The sequence below is a fragment of the Homo sapiens genome, chromosome X, assembly GCF_000001405.40.
Source record: "Homo sapiens chromosome X, GRCh38.p14 Primary Assembly".
NCBI classification, from domain to species: Eukaryota; Metazoa; Chordata; class Mammalia; order Primates; family Hominidae; genus Homo; species Homo sapiens.
Window position 1 is genome coordinate 18,338,944 of NC_000023.11, and position 20,162 is coordinate 18,359,105.

General features: G+C 41.4%; 1 protein-coding gene, 1 long non-coding RNA gene and 1 pseudogene across 6 annotated transcripts in view; 2 read left to right on the plus strand and 1 right to left on the minus strand.

Moving 5' to 3' along the window:
* The window catches only part of SCML2 (Scm polycomb group protein like 2), a 115,806-nt gene extending 99,631 nt beyond the window's left edge, over positions 1-16,175 (minus strand). For 3 of the 5 annotated variants that reach the window (NR_033717.2, XM_006724458.1, NM_006089.3), the window contains exon 1: positions 15,649-15,745. The gene's annotated coding sequence lies outside the window, so the exon portion shown is untranslated. Of the gene's footprint in view, positions 1-15,306; positions 15,334-15,648; positions 15,746-16,117 lie in introns of those variants that run through there. The other 2 variants (XM_017029219.2, XM_017029220.3) reach the window with 2 other exon arrangements.
* Positions 2,257-2,599, plus strand: TMSB10P2 (thymosin beta 10 pseudogene 2; annotated as a pseudogene).
* Positions 16,238-19,943, plus strand: LOC124905253 (uncharacterized). Its single transcript, XR_007068403.1, has 2 exons — positions 16,238-16,572; positions 19,706-19,943. It is a non-coding gene; the product is annotated as an uncharacterized LOC124905253 (long non-coding RNA).

A 20,162-nucleotide genomic window follows, 5' to 3' on the forward strand; every position in this document is an offset into this window, starting at 1 on the left:
GAAAATGAGGCAGTGTAGGAACACCCAGCATAGTATCTCAAACAAGTAGAAGCTCAAAGACTGTTCCTTATCCCATTCCATCTGTCCTAATGAAAACTTCCTGAAATTAGTGAGTTTTAGCATTAACATTTAACATTAATCATGTTGTAAAATGAAACTATGTTCCAACTTGGATTTCCAAGCATTACTTGGTTACTCTTCCAAAGTACAGACCAAAGAGTTGTTGCTTAACAAAACAGGAACTCTAAATTAAATTGCTCTTATATTAAGCTGAAATAAATAAATGTATATATTTATAACAACCAGACATATCACTATCAAAGAAAGCAGCTGTCATCTACTAATCAGCATTATCAGAAAAGTTATACATTCTAGCTAAAGCCAAAGGAAACTTGACATCATCTCATGCTGTATGACTTTTAGGTAATTATTCATTAATATATTATTTCCTTTAAGGTAGGTGAGTATTGAAAATAGCTTTTGGGCCGGGCACCATGGTGCATGCCATAATCCCAGCACTTTAGGAGGTCAAAGTAGGAGGATCACTTGAGGCCAGAAATTTGGCACCAGCCTGGACAACACAGCAAGACACCATCACTACAGAAAAATAAAATAAAATAATTAGCCGGGCGTGGTACAGCACACCTACAGTCCCAGCTACCTGGGAGGCTGAGGAGGGAGGATCACTTGAGCCCATGAGTTCAAGGCTGCAGTGAGTTATGATCACACCACCACTTCACTCCAGCCTAGGCAACAGAGTGAGACCCCAGCTCTAAAAATAAAAATTAAATTAAAAAGAAGAGAAGGTGGCTTTTGGCCCTTTATGAGCCAAAACATCCTTGTGGACTCCTAGAAACCAGAATTTTCTTTTTCTTTTTACACATTCATCATCATTGAAAATAAATGAGAACACAGATAAGCAAAAAGAAGGGGGAAAGAATCACCTATAACTCCACCACCAAACAATACCTGTTGTTAACCATCTGGTGTACACCCTTCAAATTTTAAAAAATCATATATGTAAACCCATATACAACATATATTTGAACCACTTTTAAATATATACCACCAAATTCCATATATCGATAATCTTCAAATGAAATTCTCTCTATATAATAAATTCATAAAGCCAACATTTCTTAGCTAAAATGAAATGTACAATGAATAATAAATGCCAGTTCATACCAAAGGCTGGACACAGTGGCTCACACCTGTAATCCCAGCACTCTGAGAGGCAAGGTGGGAGGATTGCTTGAACTCAGGCGTTCCAGACCAGCCTGGGCGGCACAGTGAAACCCATCTCTACAAAAAAATACAAAACTTAGCAAGCCATGGTGGCACACACCTGCACTCCCAGCTACTCAGGAAGTTGGGAGGATCGCTTGAGCCTGGGAGGCAGAGGTTGCAGTAAGCTGAGATCACACCACTGCACTCCAGCTTGCGCAACAGAGTGAGACCCTGTCTCAAAAATTAATACATAAAATGTAAAAAGTTAATTCCTTAAGGAAAATCTCCGCTATTCTTAAGATTGACGCTCAGGACAGAAGTTACTGCTTATTTTGCAATCTAACATGTGATAAACAAGGCCGGATGTGGTGGCTCACGCCTGTAATCCCAGCACTTTGGGAGGCCACGGCGGGCAGATCACTTGGGGTCAGGAGTTCAAGACCAGTCTGGCCAACATGGTGAAACCCCATCTCTACTAGAAATACAAAAATTAGCCAGACGTGATGGCAGGCACCTGTAATCCCAGCTACTCAGGAGGCTGAGGCAGGAGAATTGCTTGAACCCAGGAGACAGAGGCTGCAGTGAGCCAAGATCATTCCACTGCACTCCAGCCTGGGTGACAGAGCAAGACTCCGTCTCAAAAAAAAAAAAAAAAATTAAATAAATAAATAAAATGTGATAAACAATAAGGCAGATGAAAATCTATTTACTAGACTCTTAGCATAATTTTTAAGTTCATAACTATATTTATCAAATACTGCTTTTTGATAATGTTTGATCACCAAAACTTTTCATCATTTCCTATATAATTTTTGTATCTTATACTTTGTTGTTTTTAAAAAAGGATTAGCAGTCCCAATATAAAAATACACTTAGGGTAAAGTTTTATTTGTTTGTTCGAATTAATAAGAGCAAATACCTAGGCCTTGGGGCTGCCAGCAGGAGTGCCATGGTGAGAGGCACTGGCAGGGAATGCGGAAGGGAGCACTGGTCCCCAGCCCCAGGCCAAGAGCCTTGGTTTGCCCACTAGGATTGTTTTAAGAAAATGGCAGACAAACCAGACATAGGGGAAATCGCCAGCTTCAATAAGGCCAAGCTGAAGAAAACAGAGATGCAGGAGAACACCCTGCTGACCAAAGAGGCCATTGAGCAGGAGAAGCGGGTGAAATTTCCTAAGAGCCTGGAGGATTCCCTACCCCTGTCATCTTCGAGACCCCAGTAGTAATGTGGAGGAAGAATCACCACAAGATGGACACAAGCCACAAACTGTGACGTGAACCTGGGCACTCCGTGCTGATGCCACCAGCCTGAGGGTCCCTATGGGTCCAATCAGACTGCCAAATTCTCTGGTTTGCCCTGGGATATTATAGAAAATTATTTGCGTGAATAATGAAAACACAGCTCATGGCAAAAAATAAAATAAAATAAAAATGTACTAGTTAGTTGGGAAAAATTTAGTAATTCCCTCTGGGCTTCCTAGTAGATAAAAGCAAAAAGGAAAACACTTGGGTTATATACACACAAATTCAGAAAAAAAAAAGACAAACATTTCCCTAGGACTGAATACTAGGAAGAATCTGCGAAGATCCTGATGTAAAAGAATATTGACTAATTTAATAGAAACTATCTTTGACTATAACTTGAGAAAAAATAAAACGTTCTATTGTCCCTCTTAAAATGCATTACACTGTAACTCACCTGTCTTTCAGTCACAAGGATGGAGATTATAGATGTAAAGGGAAGAGAAGAGTACTATAATCTATTGGTAAATGCTGGATAGCATCAACGGATTCTTAGTTGAATCCTCAGAGTGTCTCAAATAGAAAAATATGGTGGCAATAGATGCAGACAGCACAGCTCTTTCTGGGAAAAATTAGAAGCCTGAAGTTCTTTTAGAAACACATTTCCACAGTGGTAGTCTGCAAGGAAAACTGCAAAAAAGCTTATCTTTGCTTTCAATATACTTTGAACCTGCTTCAGCATTATAAGAAAGGCTCAAAAAAGACCCTCAAGTAACTTGCCTTGATACATGGGAGAAAAATTTTTGGTTTTAAAAAAAGTTAAAAGCTTCAGGCTTTTGTTTTTGTTTTTGGCAACATAAAGAGTAGAAGTTGCTTCACTTAATGCATATTAGGAGCAATTCCACTGTGTGAAAAAACATTCAAATGTAAGTAAGCCTTAAAAAAAAAAAAAAGGTTAGGTTAATAGTATTTCATAGCGCCTGACATTGAAATTTCACTTACCAAAAGACTACAGTTGGGCCGGGCGCAGTGGCTCACGCCTGTAATCCCAGCACTTTGGGAGACCAAGGCGGGCAGATCACCTGAGGTCAGGAGTTCAAGGCCAGCCTGGCCAACATGGTGAAACCCCATCTCTACCAAAAATACAAAACTTAGCCAGGCATGGTGGTGAGTGCCTGTAAGCTCAGCTACTCAGGAGGCTGAGGCAGTAGAATTGCTTGAACCCAGGAGGTGGAGGTTGTAGTGAGCCGAGATCATGCCACTGAACTCCAGCCTGGGCAACAGAGCAAGACTCCATCTCAAAAAAAAAAAAAAAGACTACAGTTATACTAAATCTAGCAGTTGCATCTAGAAGCTCTGAACAAGTATGGACAATCTGCAATCTTTTACACAACCATTTGTTTTGCAGATTGTATCTTGTTACAGAATTAAGAGCTGATAAAAGATCAACAAATGCTTTGAAAAGTCTTGTTTTAAACCATTTTCTCAACACAATTAAACAATGTAAACAGTGATTAATAGTGGAATTATTAAGCCTAAAACTCCCATTACTCTTATCTGATTCTGGAGAAAATTCTACAATCTGTTGAGAAAAACAGTTTTAAAGTACTATTTAACAAACTAATGGGTCTATAATTCTAAGATTATAGGGCCTTTCCATTATTTGTTTATTTTCTGGGGTTTTTTGTTTGGAGAGTTTTTTTCTTTTTCTTTTCTCTTTTTTATTTTTTATTTTTTTCCTTTCGTGTGCCCCACCTCCCTTTTTTTTTTATTTTGTTTTGTTTTTAAGATAAGGTAAGCTACACCTTGAGTCTCTAAAGATCACTACCTGAAGAGTAGTGATCTTCAGTAAGGGTAAACATTTTGACAAGGACAGGAACTGAATAAATCTGACAGCAAGAAATATCCCAGGTTCCAGGTTCAGTTCAATTTCACTAGGGAAAAAAAAAAGAGAGAGAGAGAGAGATTTCCCAAGGCCTGTTTCAACTTTAGGCCATTGGTCAGATGTTATAAAATGAATACAACTGTAGAATTTCAACCTGAGAGAACATAAGAATCAATAAAATACGGACAGGTGCAGTGGTTCACGCCTGTAACACAGCATTTTGGGAGGCCAACGCAGGTGGATCACGAGGTCAGGAGATCAAGACCATCCTGGCCAACATGGCAAAACCCCGTCTCTACTAAAAAATACAAAAATTAGCCAGGTGTGGTGGCGGGCGCCTGTAATCCCAGCTACTCAGGAGGTTGAGGCAGGGAGAACTGCTTGTACCCGGGAGGCGGAGGTTGCAGTGAGCAGAGATGGCGCCACTGCAGTCCAGCCTGGGCGACAGAGCGAGACTCTGTCTCAAAAAAAAAAAAAAAAAAAGAAAAAGAAAAGGAAAAAAAAACCTGGGCCGGATTACAATCACACCTGTAATCCCAGCACTATGGGAGGCTGAGGCAAGAGGACTGCTTGAGCTCAGGAGTTCGAGACCAGCCTGAACAACACAGTGAAACCCTGCCTCTATTTAAAAAAAAAAAAAAAAAAAGAAAGAAAGAAAAGAAAAGAAAAGAAAAAATAATAAAATAAAACTACGAAACCAAACTCTCATTCCCTATGACTTGTGGGAAACTTAAAAAATAAAAATTTTTTTAAAAGACCAGGTGCAGTGGCTCATGCCCGTAATGCCGGCACTTTGGGAGGCCAAGGCAGGAGGATCGCTTGAGCCCAGAAGTTCAAGACCAGCCCGGGCAACATAGTGAGACCCTGTCTCTAAAAAAAAAATAATAAAATAATAAATACATAAATAACCAAATTCTTGCCATCCAAAATGAGCTCCTCTTCCTCTGCATTTTATTTTAAAAGCATTACAAACCCTCAATCTTTCTGAATTAGAAGTCATCTTTGACTCCCCTCCTCTTCTGTCTTATCAGTTACCAAGTTATTTTGATTCCTCAAGATCAGGAAGCTGGTAGTGAAAGAAAAATGATTCAAATCGAGGTTTGTCAAATGCCAAAAGACAAGGCTCCAATACACCGTATGTGCTTTGAAAGGGAGAAATAAGGAGTGATATGGTTTGGTGTCCCTACCCAAATCTCATCTTCAATTGTAGCTCTCATAATTCCCTCATGTTGTGGGAGGGAACCGGTGGGAGATAAATGAATCATGAGGGTGGTTTCTCCCACACTGTTCTCATGGTAGTGAATAAGTCTCAGGAGATCTGATGGTTTTATAAAGAGAAACGCCTTTCACCTGGCTCTCATTCTCTCATCTGCTGCCCTGTAAGACATGCCTTTCACCATGATTGTGAGGCCTCCCTAGCTAGGTAGAACTGTAAGTCCATTAAACCTCTTTTTCTTATAAATTGCCCAGTTTCAGGTATGTCTTTATCGGCAGCGTGAAAACAGACTAATACAAGGAGATATTATAATATACCAGATACCCTAGACAAAACGGATCCATGAGGGCAGGAGAAAACAAAAGTTATGTTCCCAGAGATTCAATGATAATGGTGTTGGCAGTGGTGATACTACTACTCAGATCTGTTACTTACTGAGCTCTTGCTATTAATGAATGCCTGGTACCCTACCCTAAGGCTTTTATATATGTATTTTTTCTTATCTAAAGCTTATTACAAGCCTGCATAGTAGATACTGTTATTAATGTCCATTAATGTTCATTTGAAAGTTAAGGATATTGAGGCTCAAAGACCTGCCCAAGATCACCCAGCTAGGTTTGAATCTAGGTTCATGAATGCTTAACCATTGTGCTAAAACTGCCTTTGTTGTGTTTAACTGTGTAAGTGCCTTTTCTCCCGTGCTAGACAATAAGCTCCTGGGGGCAGTATCACATCTCGTTCTTCTTTATATCCTTCAGAATAACGAGCACAGTGTCTATCACATACTAGGGTCCCCAAAATGTTTGCTGAATGAGTAAACTCTGCTGTGCTATAGGCTGCTTGTATCTAAACTATATAGAACCAGAATACTGTGGTTTTTAAAAACAATTTTTTTTTTGAAACAGGGTCTCTCTGTCACCCAGGCTGGAGTGCAGTGGAGTGATCATAGCTCGCTACAACCTCAACCTCCCCGGGCTCAGGTGATCCTCCCACCTCACCCTCCCTAGTAGCTGGGACTACAGGCACACACCACCATACCTGGCTAATTTTTGTATTTTTTGTAGTGACAGAGTTTTTCCATGTTGCCCAGGCTGGTCTCAAACTCCTGGGCTCAATGAATCCTCTTGCCTCAGCCTCTCAAAGTGCTGGAATTAGAGGTGTAAGCCACCACACATGGACTAAAACAATTTTTTGATAAAATTTTTCTTTTATTCTTTGTTTTGAGACAGGGTCTCACTCTGTTGCCCAGGCTGGAGTTCAGTGGCATAATCAGGGCTCACTGCAGCCTGACCTCCCGGCCTTAAGTGATTGTCCTGCCTCAGCACACCCCCTGCACACCCCCTACCCCCGACACACACACACACAAAGTAGCTGGGACTATAGGCATGTGCCAACAAGCTCAGCAACTAATTTTTTTTTTTTTTTTAATTTTAGTAGAGACGATGGCTCACTAAGTTGCCCATACTGGTCTCAAACTCCTGAGCTCAAATGATCCTCCTGCCTCAGCCTCCCAAAGTGCCGGGATTACAGGCTCACGTAAGCCACGGCGCTCGGCCGAGATTTTTCTTTTGGCCATCATTGTTGTTCTCTGTTCTTTCCTGCAATATCAAATCAGCTGTCTTAATTTACACACAAGTCTAAGTCAATGGGCCAAGGAGAAAATTCTGTGAGATCTGAGACAATCCCCCACCTCCAATATCTCTCTCTTTCCCAGAAGTTGATTGGCCTTTTTTTTTTACTCTGAATTTTATCTCTTTCTAGGATGTTCATGGTCTCAAAAAGTCAGGCTCCGTATGAGTTACCATTATAGAATTCAGTTTATAAATGCCAACTACATAACAGGTATAACTAAAACATGTGCTTTAAACCAATATTCACCAAAAAAAGAAACAACAAGCCAAGTCCCTATTCACAAAATAATCTATTGAAAAAAATGTTTCATCATAGCCCCTTGAGTTTATCAACAGCATAAGAAGTTTCAAGGATAAGAGAGATTCACAAATACGTTTGCTGGTGTTTTAAAGAAAATGTTGGAATAAGTGACGGAAGTTATTATACATACACAATTTACCAGAGATTAATTAAATAGCACAGGTAGAAAGGGTTCTTTTCCTTTTAAAATCTATCTTGTTATAAAGACACTACTTTTAGACTTGAACAAACAAAAACGCTGTCCTTTATTGTGAAGGGGAAGGTCTGAGTTAACTGCATAAAATAACACCTTTATGTTTTTAACTTGTAAATAGTTTATTATTTTGTTTCAAGAAGTACTTCACATTTATGCCTAAATGCAAAAAAAAATACTGATTTAATTAAAATACACTGTAGTTATGTATTTTTTCTTTGACCAAGAGAAGCTCTCTCTTTCAACTAAGATTTTGTTTCTGGTAATAGTGATTATCCTAATACAGGATAGAAAAAGTGTATATTCCATTGTATAACCATACATAATTTTGTGGAATTGAACATGAGTCATCACATTAAGATTCCACAAGTATCTATTCAATTCACTCAAGTAAATAATCAAATGTCACATTTTCTGACATAGTTATAAAAGTAATCAGAAAAACACTAAATTCTAATACTGTAATTACATTTAAAACTAAAATTCTATCTCTGAATTAAGACTAATCAATATTAAGAAAGAACAAGCCGGGTGCGGTGGCTCAAGCTTGTAATCCCAGCACTTTGGGAGGCTGAGGCGGGTGAATCACCTGAGGTCAAGAGTTTGAGACCAGACTGGCCAACATGGTAAAACCCCGTCTCTACCAAAAATACAAAAATTAGCCGGGTGTGGTGGCGGGCACCTGTAGTCCCAGCTACCTGGCAGGCTGAGACAGGAGAATCGCTTGAATCTGGGAGGGGGAGGTTGCAGTGAGCCAAGATAGTGCCATTGCACCCCAGCCTGAGTGACAAGAGTAAAATTCCATTTCAAAAAAAAAAAAAGAACATTTTTAGGCCGGGCGCAGGGGCTCATGCCTGTAATCCCCGCACTCTGGGAATACGAGGTGGGCAGATCACTTGAGGTCTGAAGTTCGAGACCAGCCTGGCCAACATGGCAAAACCCCGTCTGCGGTGGTACACACCTATAATCTCACCTACCCGGGTGGCTGAGGCATGAAAATTGCTTGAACCTGGGAGGCAGAGGCTGCAGTGAACCGAGATCATGCCACTGCACTCCAGCCTGGGTGACAGAGCAAGACTCCGTCTCAAAAAAAAAAAAAAAAAAAAAAAAAAAAAGAACATTTTCATCTCCATATTTCTGAAATCTGTAAAAAAAAATCAAAGAACATTTTTGGTAGCAATAATTTATCAAATCAAGCCTTCTTGAGGAAATTAAGGTTTCTAAAGGAGCAATTTTAAATTATGCTTTAGTAAAGAGTCCACCCCAACAAATTAGTAATTAATCTTTTTCTGTGTCAAAACAAACCTAAGAAGGCTTAACTATTTTCAAAAATTTCTAATTTAAGTTACCCCCCAAAAAACCTGTAAGTTAATCACTTGCAATTTCAAAATGATTTATGTGAAAGCTATGTATTTAGTGAAGAAGTATGTCATGTCAGAAAACAGATAAACGAAAGATAAGTCAAGGGTTGCCAAAATCCCAGTTTATAGTTGTAAATTCCTGAGGTTTTAAAGCACAGCTACAGGCTAACTGCCCAAAGACCTGCTACCCACTGACTTTTGTGAAGGACTTGAGTTAATGGCAGGGCATGTCAATATACTACAGGCAGCTAATGGTGCAACTTTTTGACAAAAGAACTGGATCTGGTTACAGGCTGTTCCTATTATCACTGCAGTCTAGATTTATGGTTTCTAACACCGGCCCTACAAGAAATAATGGAAATGATGACAACAACAATCCCCACTAGACAACAGACTGCAGAAAAGCATGCAATAAACCACAATCTGAAGAAACCAGAAAACTAAACATCCTTGAAAATACCTCAAACATGAGGCAGGTGTCAGCAAATTACCCATTCAAATATTTCTACAACTTCTCAAATTTCAACACAAAAAAAATCTCAAATCAGAGTCTCTAAAGTAATCTAAAACCAAACAATATCTAAATATACTTACTATTGCCTACTATATATTAATTCTTTTAATGACCAAAGATGCCGTGTTTCATTTGAACAGATTTATGAAACTCTATCAAGTTAGTTAAAAATTAATACTGACTATATTGCTTTTCAAATAACATTAAAGAGAAAAATACTCCAAATAACATTTTAAAAAATATTTCCAAAGAAAAAAAAGCAACAGTTCATAGCAAAGGGCACATGTTTCCAAATGTATTCAAAGAGGAAGAGAACTGAAAAGAAGAAACACATTTGATTCAGCATTTAAAAATAAATATATAATCAAACCTTAAACCAGCTAAAACTGATGAAAGGTAGGAAAAGTGGCCAAATGTTAACCAAAAAAAACAAGCACTTTGTCAATACACTTAAAAAACTATGTCAAGGCTATAAGGTACATACCAAACAAATGGAGCTGTTTGTCTATAATTCGCCACCAGTTAATCTTTATGAGAAACAGAGGTTGCGAAAAATCAAATGTGTATTCTAAACACAACCAAAGAGAGCCCCGCAAACTTTTCTCTGAGAAATGAAAGCATCTTCAAGGTATGCCCTAGAATTGTAATATATCTGTCCCTTCTGAAGTTTACAACAGTACGTTACCACTAAAAGTGGGCACTCTCTTTCCCCTCTTAAAACAATTTGCTCCTATAAACTTAGGAAGAGGCAGAGCCATAGCCATAAACACAGGTCACAAGTAGTAGGTAATCAAATGCTATCTTCAGTTTCCCAGGTCTTTACTCACAGCTTATTCTATAAGTTTTAACTCTTCAAATAAGGAATTCATGTAGTCTAGGTCAAATGATCATGATATTAAGATGAACAGCACCATCATATTCACTGCTACAGGATCCTCAAATATTTCACTTTTCACACAATAAGATATCTCCATTGCTTATGTTAACACCTCTCCAGGCTGGGCGTGGTGGCTCACGCCTGTAATCCCAGCACTTTGGGAGGCCAAGGCAGGTGGATCACTTGAGGTTAGAAGTTTGAGACCAGCCTGAACAACATGGTGAAACCCCGTCCCTACTAAAATTATTTTTTAAAAAATTAGCTGGGCATGGTTGCGCACGCCTGTAATCCCAGCTCCCCAGGAGGCTGAGGCAAGAGAATCACTTGAACCTCGGAGGTGGGGGTTGCAGTGAGCCAGGATTGTGCCACTGCACTACAGCCTGGGCAACAGAGCGAGACTCCGTCTCAAAAAAAAACAAACAAAAAAAAACCCAGTATTATTTCTAAGGTTGCCAAGGTAACCCTAGAAATAGACAACATAATGACAAAATAAACAAAATCGCCTTTCTCATGAAAACCAAAGAACACATACACATTTCAAATCTTGATAGCTTCTAAAATTTTTTCAAGTTATTTTTAAGAACCACCATTGGCAGGGCGAGGTGGCTCACGCCTGTAATCCCAGAACTTCAGGAAGCCAAGGCAGGAGGATCACTTGAGGCCAGGAATTCGAGAACAGCCTGGCCAACATGGTGAAACCCCATCTCTACTAAAAATACAAAAATTATGAAAAATACAAAAATTAGTGGGCATGGTGATGCACGCCTGTAATCCCAGCTACTCAGGGGCTGAGGCACAAGAATTGCTTGAACCCAGGAGGCAGAGGCTGTAGTGAGCCAAGATCACACCACCGCACTCCAGCCTGGGCAACAGACAGAGCAAGACTCTCAAAAAAAACAAAGGCCAGATTCGGTGGCTCATGCCTGTAATCCCAGCACTTGGAGAGGCAGCAGAAGTGGATGGATTACCTGAGGTCAGGAGTTTGAGACCAGCCTGGCCAACATGGTAAAACCCCATCTCTACTAAAAATACAAAAATTAGCCAGGCTCGGTGGCGCACGCCTGTAGTCCCAGCTACTTGGGAGGCTGAGGCAGGAGAATCACTTGAACCTGGGAGGCAGAGGTTGCAGTGAGCTGAGATCGTGCCACTCTACTCCAGCCTGGGTGACAAAACGAGACTCCATCTCGGAAAAAAAAAAAAAAAAAATTAGCTGGGTGTGGCGGTACATGCCTGTAGTCCCAGCAACTGGGAAGGCTGAGGCAGGAGAATTGCTTGAAGCCAGGAGGCAGAGGTTGCAATGAGCCGAGATTGCACCTGCACTCCAGCCTGGGTAACAGAGCAAGACTCCGTATCAAAAAAAGAACTACCACAAACTCTTTTTATAAATGGTAACCAAAGCCTAAGGTACTTAGAGTCTAAAAAATGTACTTACCACTAAATTATACCAGTATTTATATAATGGTATAAATTATGCCATTTTAATCTAAGATAAACGCCAGTGGTTTCTTTTATCTATTTCCCCAAGACAAAGAGATCCTGAATATTAAGCCCCAAAGCCAGGGAAGGGTATAAACTCTTCCTTCAAAATTACCAACACGGCCGGGCGTGGTGGCTCACACCTGTAATCCCAGCACTTTGGGAGGCCAAGGCAGGAGGATCACCTGAGGTCAGGAGTTTTGAGACCAGCCTGGCCAACTAGGTGAAACCCCGTCTCTACTAAAAATGCAAAAATTAGCTGGGCATGGTGGCACACCCCTGTAATCCTAACTACTCAGGAGGCTGAGGTGGGAAAATTGCTTGAACGCAGGAAGCAGAAGCTGCAGTGGGCTGAGATCACGCCACTGCACTACAGCCTGGGCAACACAGCGAGAGCCCATCTCAAAAAAAAAAAAACATCACCAACATTTGCCATTTTCAAAATGTCCAGGTTTTTAGTTCCTGGAATCAACAATCAGTTCAAATTCTAAGGTATTATGTAGTAATTCTCAGACATTAATAATGGTTCTAAAATTATTAGGGATGCTTGATTTGCCCACTGCAAACTACAAAACACCTTCTGGCAATGACAGACTAATCTTTGCACCACAGCTCATAGCTCTAAGGCTGATAGCTGGCAGAGCCCACTTTGTTCTTGTATATCCTAAAAATCAGGAATATGACTATGAGGAGACAGTGAGACCTACCCTCCCCACCCCGAGAGGGTAGCTAATAGAGAGGACCTCCGATTTCCATTCACAAGTGGAATGAGAATAGAGGGAGAAAAATGGCAGACAGAATAACCAGGCAAAAAAAAAAAAAAGACTAGAGGTGACTAATAAGGCAAACAGCAGAGGATACTGCTGTATCCACCCGTGTTCCAGTTACTAGAGTTACAAAAGTCATTGCTATTAACCCCAAAAGAAAGGCAGTAAAATAGTCAAGTGAAACTTTTCTCTCGCACCCCCAAGAGCTCAAACTAAAATTGGGATTTGGCTCTTCCTTAAATGGAACAAGTGGCTACATCAAGTTAATTCAAAAGACTTGGTATTTACTCAGCCTTTTCAAGGCACTTTACCATCATTAATTATTTCTCAGTGAAGCAGCAAAGGATTACCCTGACCATTTCACTGATGCGGAAACAGACACCAACAGCAAAGGGAACAGGGGCAGGAAGAGGGGTGATAGGAAGCATCTGGGAGGAACAGGCAGGCAGCTAAAAAGGAACAAGCCCAAAAGAAAATAAGAGTCACATCTGGCTTATAGCTGAGGATCATAACCCTTATTTGTTATTTCTGAGCTCAGAGATTTCTGCAACATTTTGAAAAAACAAAGTGCTTTAAAATACCAGTTAAAACTTAATTACAGCTTAAACTACTTAGTAATAGAAATTGCTTAGTATTAAAAAATACCCAATCTTCAGAGCACATATTGATTTCCATTTATACCAGCAACTCATTTTTCCCCTCAAGCTTAACCAGTATGTTATCTATTTGAACCAGAAAATAATCTCATGAAAATATATAGCTTTATATAATCCTAACCAAAAAATCACAAAGTTAACATCACGTAAGTCAGAAATAGTTTGCAGCTACACTCAGAATTTTGTTTGGAGAATTATGACAAAAATACTGACTTCTCGAGTTCGCCCTTTGAATGAAAGGAATACTTGTTCTACATTCGTATTGATTTTTTTAGCTATAACTCCCTGAAATTTTCAGGAATAAACTATGGGTGGAAAGCCTTAAACACCCTGAAATTAGCACACGTAGTGGGCTCTGAATAAACTGAACTCCATAGTAAAGACAGCACAGGTGCTTAATAAAGATGTGTTGATGGAATCATAAATCAAAAGGACTGATCAACCACCTCATGAGAAAAACTGATACACCTTTTTTAGACTGACTGTAATGATTTTTGAACGTTATGACACTATCAACTTTAAAGCACCCGCACATATAATGCAGTAGAGTTACAGTAATCTTTTTTCCAACTACCAATTCCAAAGCAAATCAGGTTCTCTGGGGTAAACAAGTATACATCCTTAAGAAGTTCATATGGCTGCATGATGTATATATAAAGTTCATTCAAAACTTTCAAAGCCAGTTTAAATGGTGTTTTTTCTTTACATTCTATCAAACTGTTTTAAAGGTTATAGATAAAGCTAAACACAAGGCATCAGGTGAATACTCATAAACTCAATCTTTTCTCAAAAATCCCACTGGATTCATTTCCAAAAGCTTATTTTCACATTCCTCCCATTAAATAGAAAAAAAAAAAAAAAACACACAAACAGCCTGAAAGCACATTCGTAATTGGAAATATTTTATTTAATGAGTAATTAAGAAAAATAAAAGAAAGGCAAAATCGTCATTATTGAAAAACATTTCCCTCGCTGTTATTGAAAAGAATTAAATATGCGTTTATGAACCATTGTTATAAAACAATTGCTCATCATAGGCAGCTGTACTCCATAAATGTTGTACATCTTAAAATACTTTTCCCTCAAAACAGAAATATGAATAGCTCTGGGGGCATTAAAATGTAGCAGCATCTGAAGCTGTTTTAGGGAAAAAAACAACTATCTCCAATACTTTTGTAAATCATATGATCATAAGCAACTTATTCACTTTCCCTGCCTCAGTTTACCCCCACTAATCGATCCATTAACTTTCCAGAGAAGACCTAAAGTAAGTCATAAACGTTAATCTCCTAATTTACAAACAAGAAGCAAATTTCAAGTTGCAATCACACTTTGTGATGCTTGACAAATGTTTAACAACCTCTTTTTAAAAAATAAATAGTCTCAAATGGGAGCCTGTAAGTAAATACTTGTGCTGCCCAAACATTTGGGGTTTGGGGGAGCCGAATTACAAGTCGGCCCAGGAAGCTATCTATGTACAACCTTGAGGCGCAAAATCGAGCAAATTCGCCTAGACCCATTCTCCCTCCGGCTCTTCACACCTGGATGGGGCGCAAGCACGATACAGGTGGAAAAAGCGAGAAAGGTAAGAAACCATTTCGAGACTGTTTCTAAGTGACGGCAGCAACTTTTTTTCGGTCAGGCCGCGAGGCCGCCTCTCCGCCCCTCAGGAGGCTTAGAGCCCCTCCTCGCCTCCCCGCCAGCCCCGGACGGGACGCGCATTCCGGTCCCGCTGCACCGCTAGGGTGAGCCACCGGCGCCCCCAGCCCCCGCCAGGAGCCCGGCGGCGCGCACCTTGGCACCAGGATTTGCGCCCGCACGCCGCCACAGGCGCATCCTTCCGGGCCGACGTTTCCCTCCCAAACTCCAAAAGTTATCTCAGCCCAGACCAGGCAAAGTCTACCTCCTTCCTCCGCCCCGCCACCCACCGTGATGCCCCCCAGGCCCCAGCCCGGCCCTACCCACGGCAGGGAGGATGCGCCGGAGGGCGCTGTCGGCGCTGCAGGCGAGGGGACGGGTGGAAGCTATCGGCCGGGCGCCCAAACCCCGCGGCGGCGAAAAGGCCCCGGGGCGGCGTGAGGGGAAACGCGAGATCGGCTGAAGGGCGTCCGCGGAAGGCGCCGGGGGCGGGATACCCTATCGCGAAGCCGAACTGAGATGGGACATAGGCGGGATCGTAAGGGGGCGTTCCTCGCACGGGACGCGCGCTGATGGCTTCTACCCGCCCGCCCACGGACAACGGTCGGGGTCCGGGACACACCTCCGCCTCTCCATTCCTTACGGGGCCCGGAATCACCACGTACCTCCAGTCTCGTCGGTGAAAACAACGAAATTCTGTCCCACCGATCGCGCGAGCCGGCACCGAGCTTCACACCGCCGCCGCCATGTTTGAGAAGCCGCGCGCGGAGCCGCGCATGCCCCGCAACCGCCACTGCCGCCCCGCCCCCCGCGCGGCCGGCCCGCGTGCCCTGCGGTTGCCGCGAGCACGCCCTTTGACCGCCGCCGCGTGCGGGGCCCGAGCCGGGGTCAAGCCGAGCGCCACCGCAGGCAGTGGCGGACCATGAGACACTGTGAGCCCGGGAAAGCCCTTGGCACTTTGCCTCCTACCCCCCACGCCTACGCCAAATGAAAAACCAGTCGCAGCCCAAGCACCCGAGGCCGTGGGGAGCCCCTCGATGGGACCCCGGGTTCCACGTCAAGTTCCATCCCGGGAACTCGCTCCCCTTCACTGTCGCCTTCGAATCCTGGCCACCACCCACCCTGGCCACGCACCCAAAAAGCAGGCGCTTCCCTCGGAACTCAAGCAAGTTCGAGGAGCAGGGAGAAGCAGCTGGTTACAGCAGCTTGAGGAAAGCCACTGCTTGGCGGGTTGCAGCATAGTCCTTGAAACTGCTTTTTTTTTTTTTTTCCATGAGTTTTTGCCACGCATTCACCTCCCAGCTTCACTCTCTGGATTTCGTTCTTCCTCTAAACCCGGGGTTGAGCTAACGGGAACTAGATGAACCCGCAGGGGGAAATCACTTGCTTACTGACTCAGGAGCATCCCCGAGAGTGCGTTTTGGGGTCCCTTCTGCACGCTCCCTTTCCCACCGGGCAAGGCCCATAGCGCAAGTGGAGGTCGCACAAAGGAGGGGGCGTAAAAACAGCTTTAAAACGACCAGTGAATCTCTCAGCACAAATTACAGCAAACAGAACGCCGGAGAAAAACATCTGTCCCTCGTTCTCAGGTTAGGTATAAGCTGATTTCAAACTTTTGTTTGAAAAATAATACAATGTGCTATGTTAGCCAAAAACAAACCATTGCTAGGGCTTCTCTCTCTGGAACTCTTTCCAAAGCTGGATGTAGGTTTTGCATCTGTGATCACCTAACTTAGTGCAGAGGGCATGATATACTTTTTAAATCATGATTTGGAAATCAGAGCTTAAAACTGAGAACAAAAAACTCCTGTGGAATATATCCATTGTCTACAACGCAGGATAGAATTTTCCAGTTGCAGCTTCTGCAGTATTAAGCAAAAGTCAAAGTGTTTATTATATCTAAACATTGGCAAGTGGCACAGAATCAAATGGATCTATTATTTAATGCTTTAAAAATGAAAACCTAAATGTTAATGCCAAATTCAAGTAAACTTTAAGGCGAAAATAGAAAGACTAGGTTGATGATATGCAAATATTAAAGTGAGATTTGGTCCTATCAATTCTATAATGTATATCACATAGGAGAAAATGTTGGAGTGTCCTAAGATGAAGGTTCAAGCATGTTTTTTGAGACAAGAGTCTCGTTTTGTCGCCCAGGCTGGAGAGCAGTGGCACGATCTCGGCTCACTGCAACCTCCGCCTCCCGGGTTCAAGCGATTCTCCTGCCTCAGCCTCCTGAGTAGCTGGGACTACAGTCGCGTGCCACTAGGCCCGGCTAATTTTTTGTATTTTTAGTAGAGACGGGGTTTCATCGTGTTAGCCAGGATGGTCTCGATCTCCCGACCTCATGATCCACCCGCCTCTGCCTCCCAAAGTGCTGGGATTACACGCGTGAGCCACTACGCCCGGCCCAAACATGTTTTCAAAAGCCAGAAAGAGGCCGGACGCGGTGGCTCACGCCTGTAATCCCAGCACTTTGGGAGGCCGAGGCGAGTGGATCACCTGAGGTCGGGAGTTGGAGACCAGCCTGACCAACATGGAGAAACCCTGTCTCTACTAAAAGTACAAAATATTAGCCGGGCGTGGTGGCACGCGCCTGTAATCCCAGCTATTCGGGAGGCTGAGGCAGGAGAATCGCTTGAACCTGGGAAGCAGAGGTTGCCGTGAGCCGAGATCGCGCCATTGCACTCCAGCCTGGGCAACAAGAGCGAAATTCTGTCTCAAAAAAAAAAAAAAAAAAAAAAAGCCAGAAGGAGATCTTTAACAGAAAGAAATTAAACAGAGGTTTAATCTAAACAAACCTTATTATGGGCACCAGCAGGGCTGAGGAGGACATAAATTCTTAATTAGTGGCCACTGTCCTTCTAATCCCAATGCAATGGAAATATTTGAAATTCATCTCTACATTCTATGTATGAAAGATTTATTTGGGACTCCATCTCAAAAAAAAAAGAAAGATTTACTTTGGCTTGTCACATACCTTTTTTACGTCTATGGATTCTATTAAATTGTAGGAATTCTACTATGATTGCTGAATTGCCTGGCTCACTGATGCCTAATCTATTTTTCATATTTCTGTTAACATGAAATTACTGAAGCCCTTATTCTAAAAATGAAATTTGAATTATCTATCCTAGAACATCTTCTCAGTTACTATCCTCACCAAAGGATTTATAGATGTGTGACTCTTCGTTATATTAAATCTGAGTTATCGATAATAACAATAGCTACCATTTATTGAGCATGTGCTGAGAATCACGCTAGTCTCTTTAGAGATAAATTTCCAATATTTGCAATGTTCTTTCACAACTTTCCTATGAGGTAGGTACTCTCATTCCCATTTTACAGATGAGGAAAATAAATTAATACACAGCAAATAAGTGGCAGTTAGCTTTTGAATATATTAATATATTCAAATATGTCCTAATAATTCCTTCCACCCTTGTCATCAATTGTGCTTTTATCCACTACGTATATAAACTTTTCAATAATTATTTTATTATACCCTGCTTTTCCACCTTTGCCAAAATAAATTTGAGACAGTTTTTTCATAATGTTAACACAGGTTGGAACATCACCGTTTCTCTTACATTATATGTAAGTCTCTTGCCCATAGTAGGAATTTGGTAAATATTTGTTGAATGAGTGAATAGATAAATGGATAAATGAATACCTACTGTTATTATGTTCGATTAACTTTGCCTAGAAAACATGAAAATAAAGAAACTGTGAACTGAAAGAATAAGAACTAAAGCTGGTAAAATCCAAGTTTTCATGATTTATTTTTCAAGCCTCAGATTTGCTCCTGTGAATTTGCTCTTATAGTTCTCCTGATTTGGCACCAAACCTGTGACAACCTTCAAAAAAACACATCACCCCACCCAGTCCAAGTCCAGGGCAAAATACTCCTGTATTTCAAGTGTGTTTTATTGCTTCCTTTTGTACCTTTTTTAGAGTTCAATATTAGTGAGAGTGAAAAGATAATCTTCCCTAGATAAGCAAGTTTAATCTAGATCTTCATCAGTACACATGCTTATGTTGAAACAATATCGGCCAGGCGCGGTGGCTCACACCTGTAATCCCTCCACTTTGGGAGGCCGAGGCAGGTGGATCACCTGAGGTCAGGAGTTTGAGACCAGCCTGGCCAACATGGCGAAACCCAGTCTCTACTAAAAATACAAAAATTAGCCAGGTGGCGTGGCGGGCGCCTGTAATCCTAGCTACTTGAGAGTCTGAGGCAGGAGAATCGCTTGAACCCGGGAGGTGGAGGCTGCAGTGAGCCGCGATCGTGCCACTGCACTCCAGCCTGGGCAACAAGAACGAAACTTCGTCTCGGAAAAAAAAAAAAAAGAAACAATGTAATTTGCATACATAAAGTTAACGTTTTAGGATGAGTGAAGACTCCCTCTAGTTTTCCTACTAAATGGGCATCTTTCTCCCTAAAACACAGAAGCCTAACTAAGCCTGGCAGAGACTGGAGCTCCAAGTTGTAACTAGTAAACCCACTATTCATATTTTTACCTTAGTGTAAAAATCCATAGAATGGGTATTAAATAACTGATTGTTTAAAATAGTGACTTTACAAATATCTTCAGATCCCTGTTTCTAACAATTTGCCCTTTTTTCCCCATTAAACCAAGAGCACATATCTGTAAGATATAAATTGTTTTCAGTATTGTTATGGTTGCTTACAATAAACCTCTTCTTTTAACTTCAAAATAGTAACTTCCCTGGAAAAAGATCAAGAAGTGAAGTGCAATAGGAAGACAGAGAAGCTAGTCTAACAGGAAGGCATCGTATTCTAGCAAAAGGAGGACCGGCCCTGTCTCTCGTCTGGAATCTCAAGTCTATCATTAGTCTATCTCAACTAACTAACTGTATTTCTTTAGAACCTTTCCATGCCTCAGATTGTTTTAATTTTTTTAATGGGGATAATAAAATCTGCTACATTTACTTCACAGATGGGGAAAATACTAGTCAAATCTATCAGAAAACCACATGGTCTTTGCTTAACAAATCCCCACATTTAAAAAAGTAAAATTACATTAGCCTTTTACCAACAAAGTGCATGACACCTAAGCTGACTTTGGCCAAGTCAAGTGTTTTATATGCTGTGAAAACTAACATAACCTCAGTGAACACTACGCTACATTTGACCATTATTACATTCAGCCAGTCC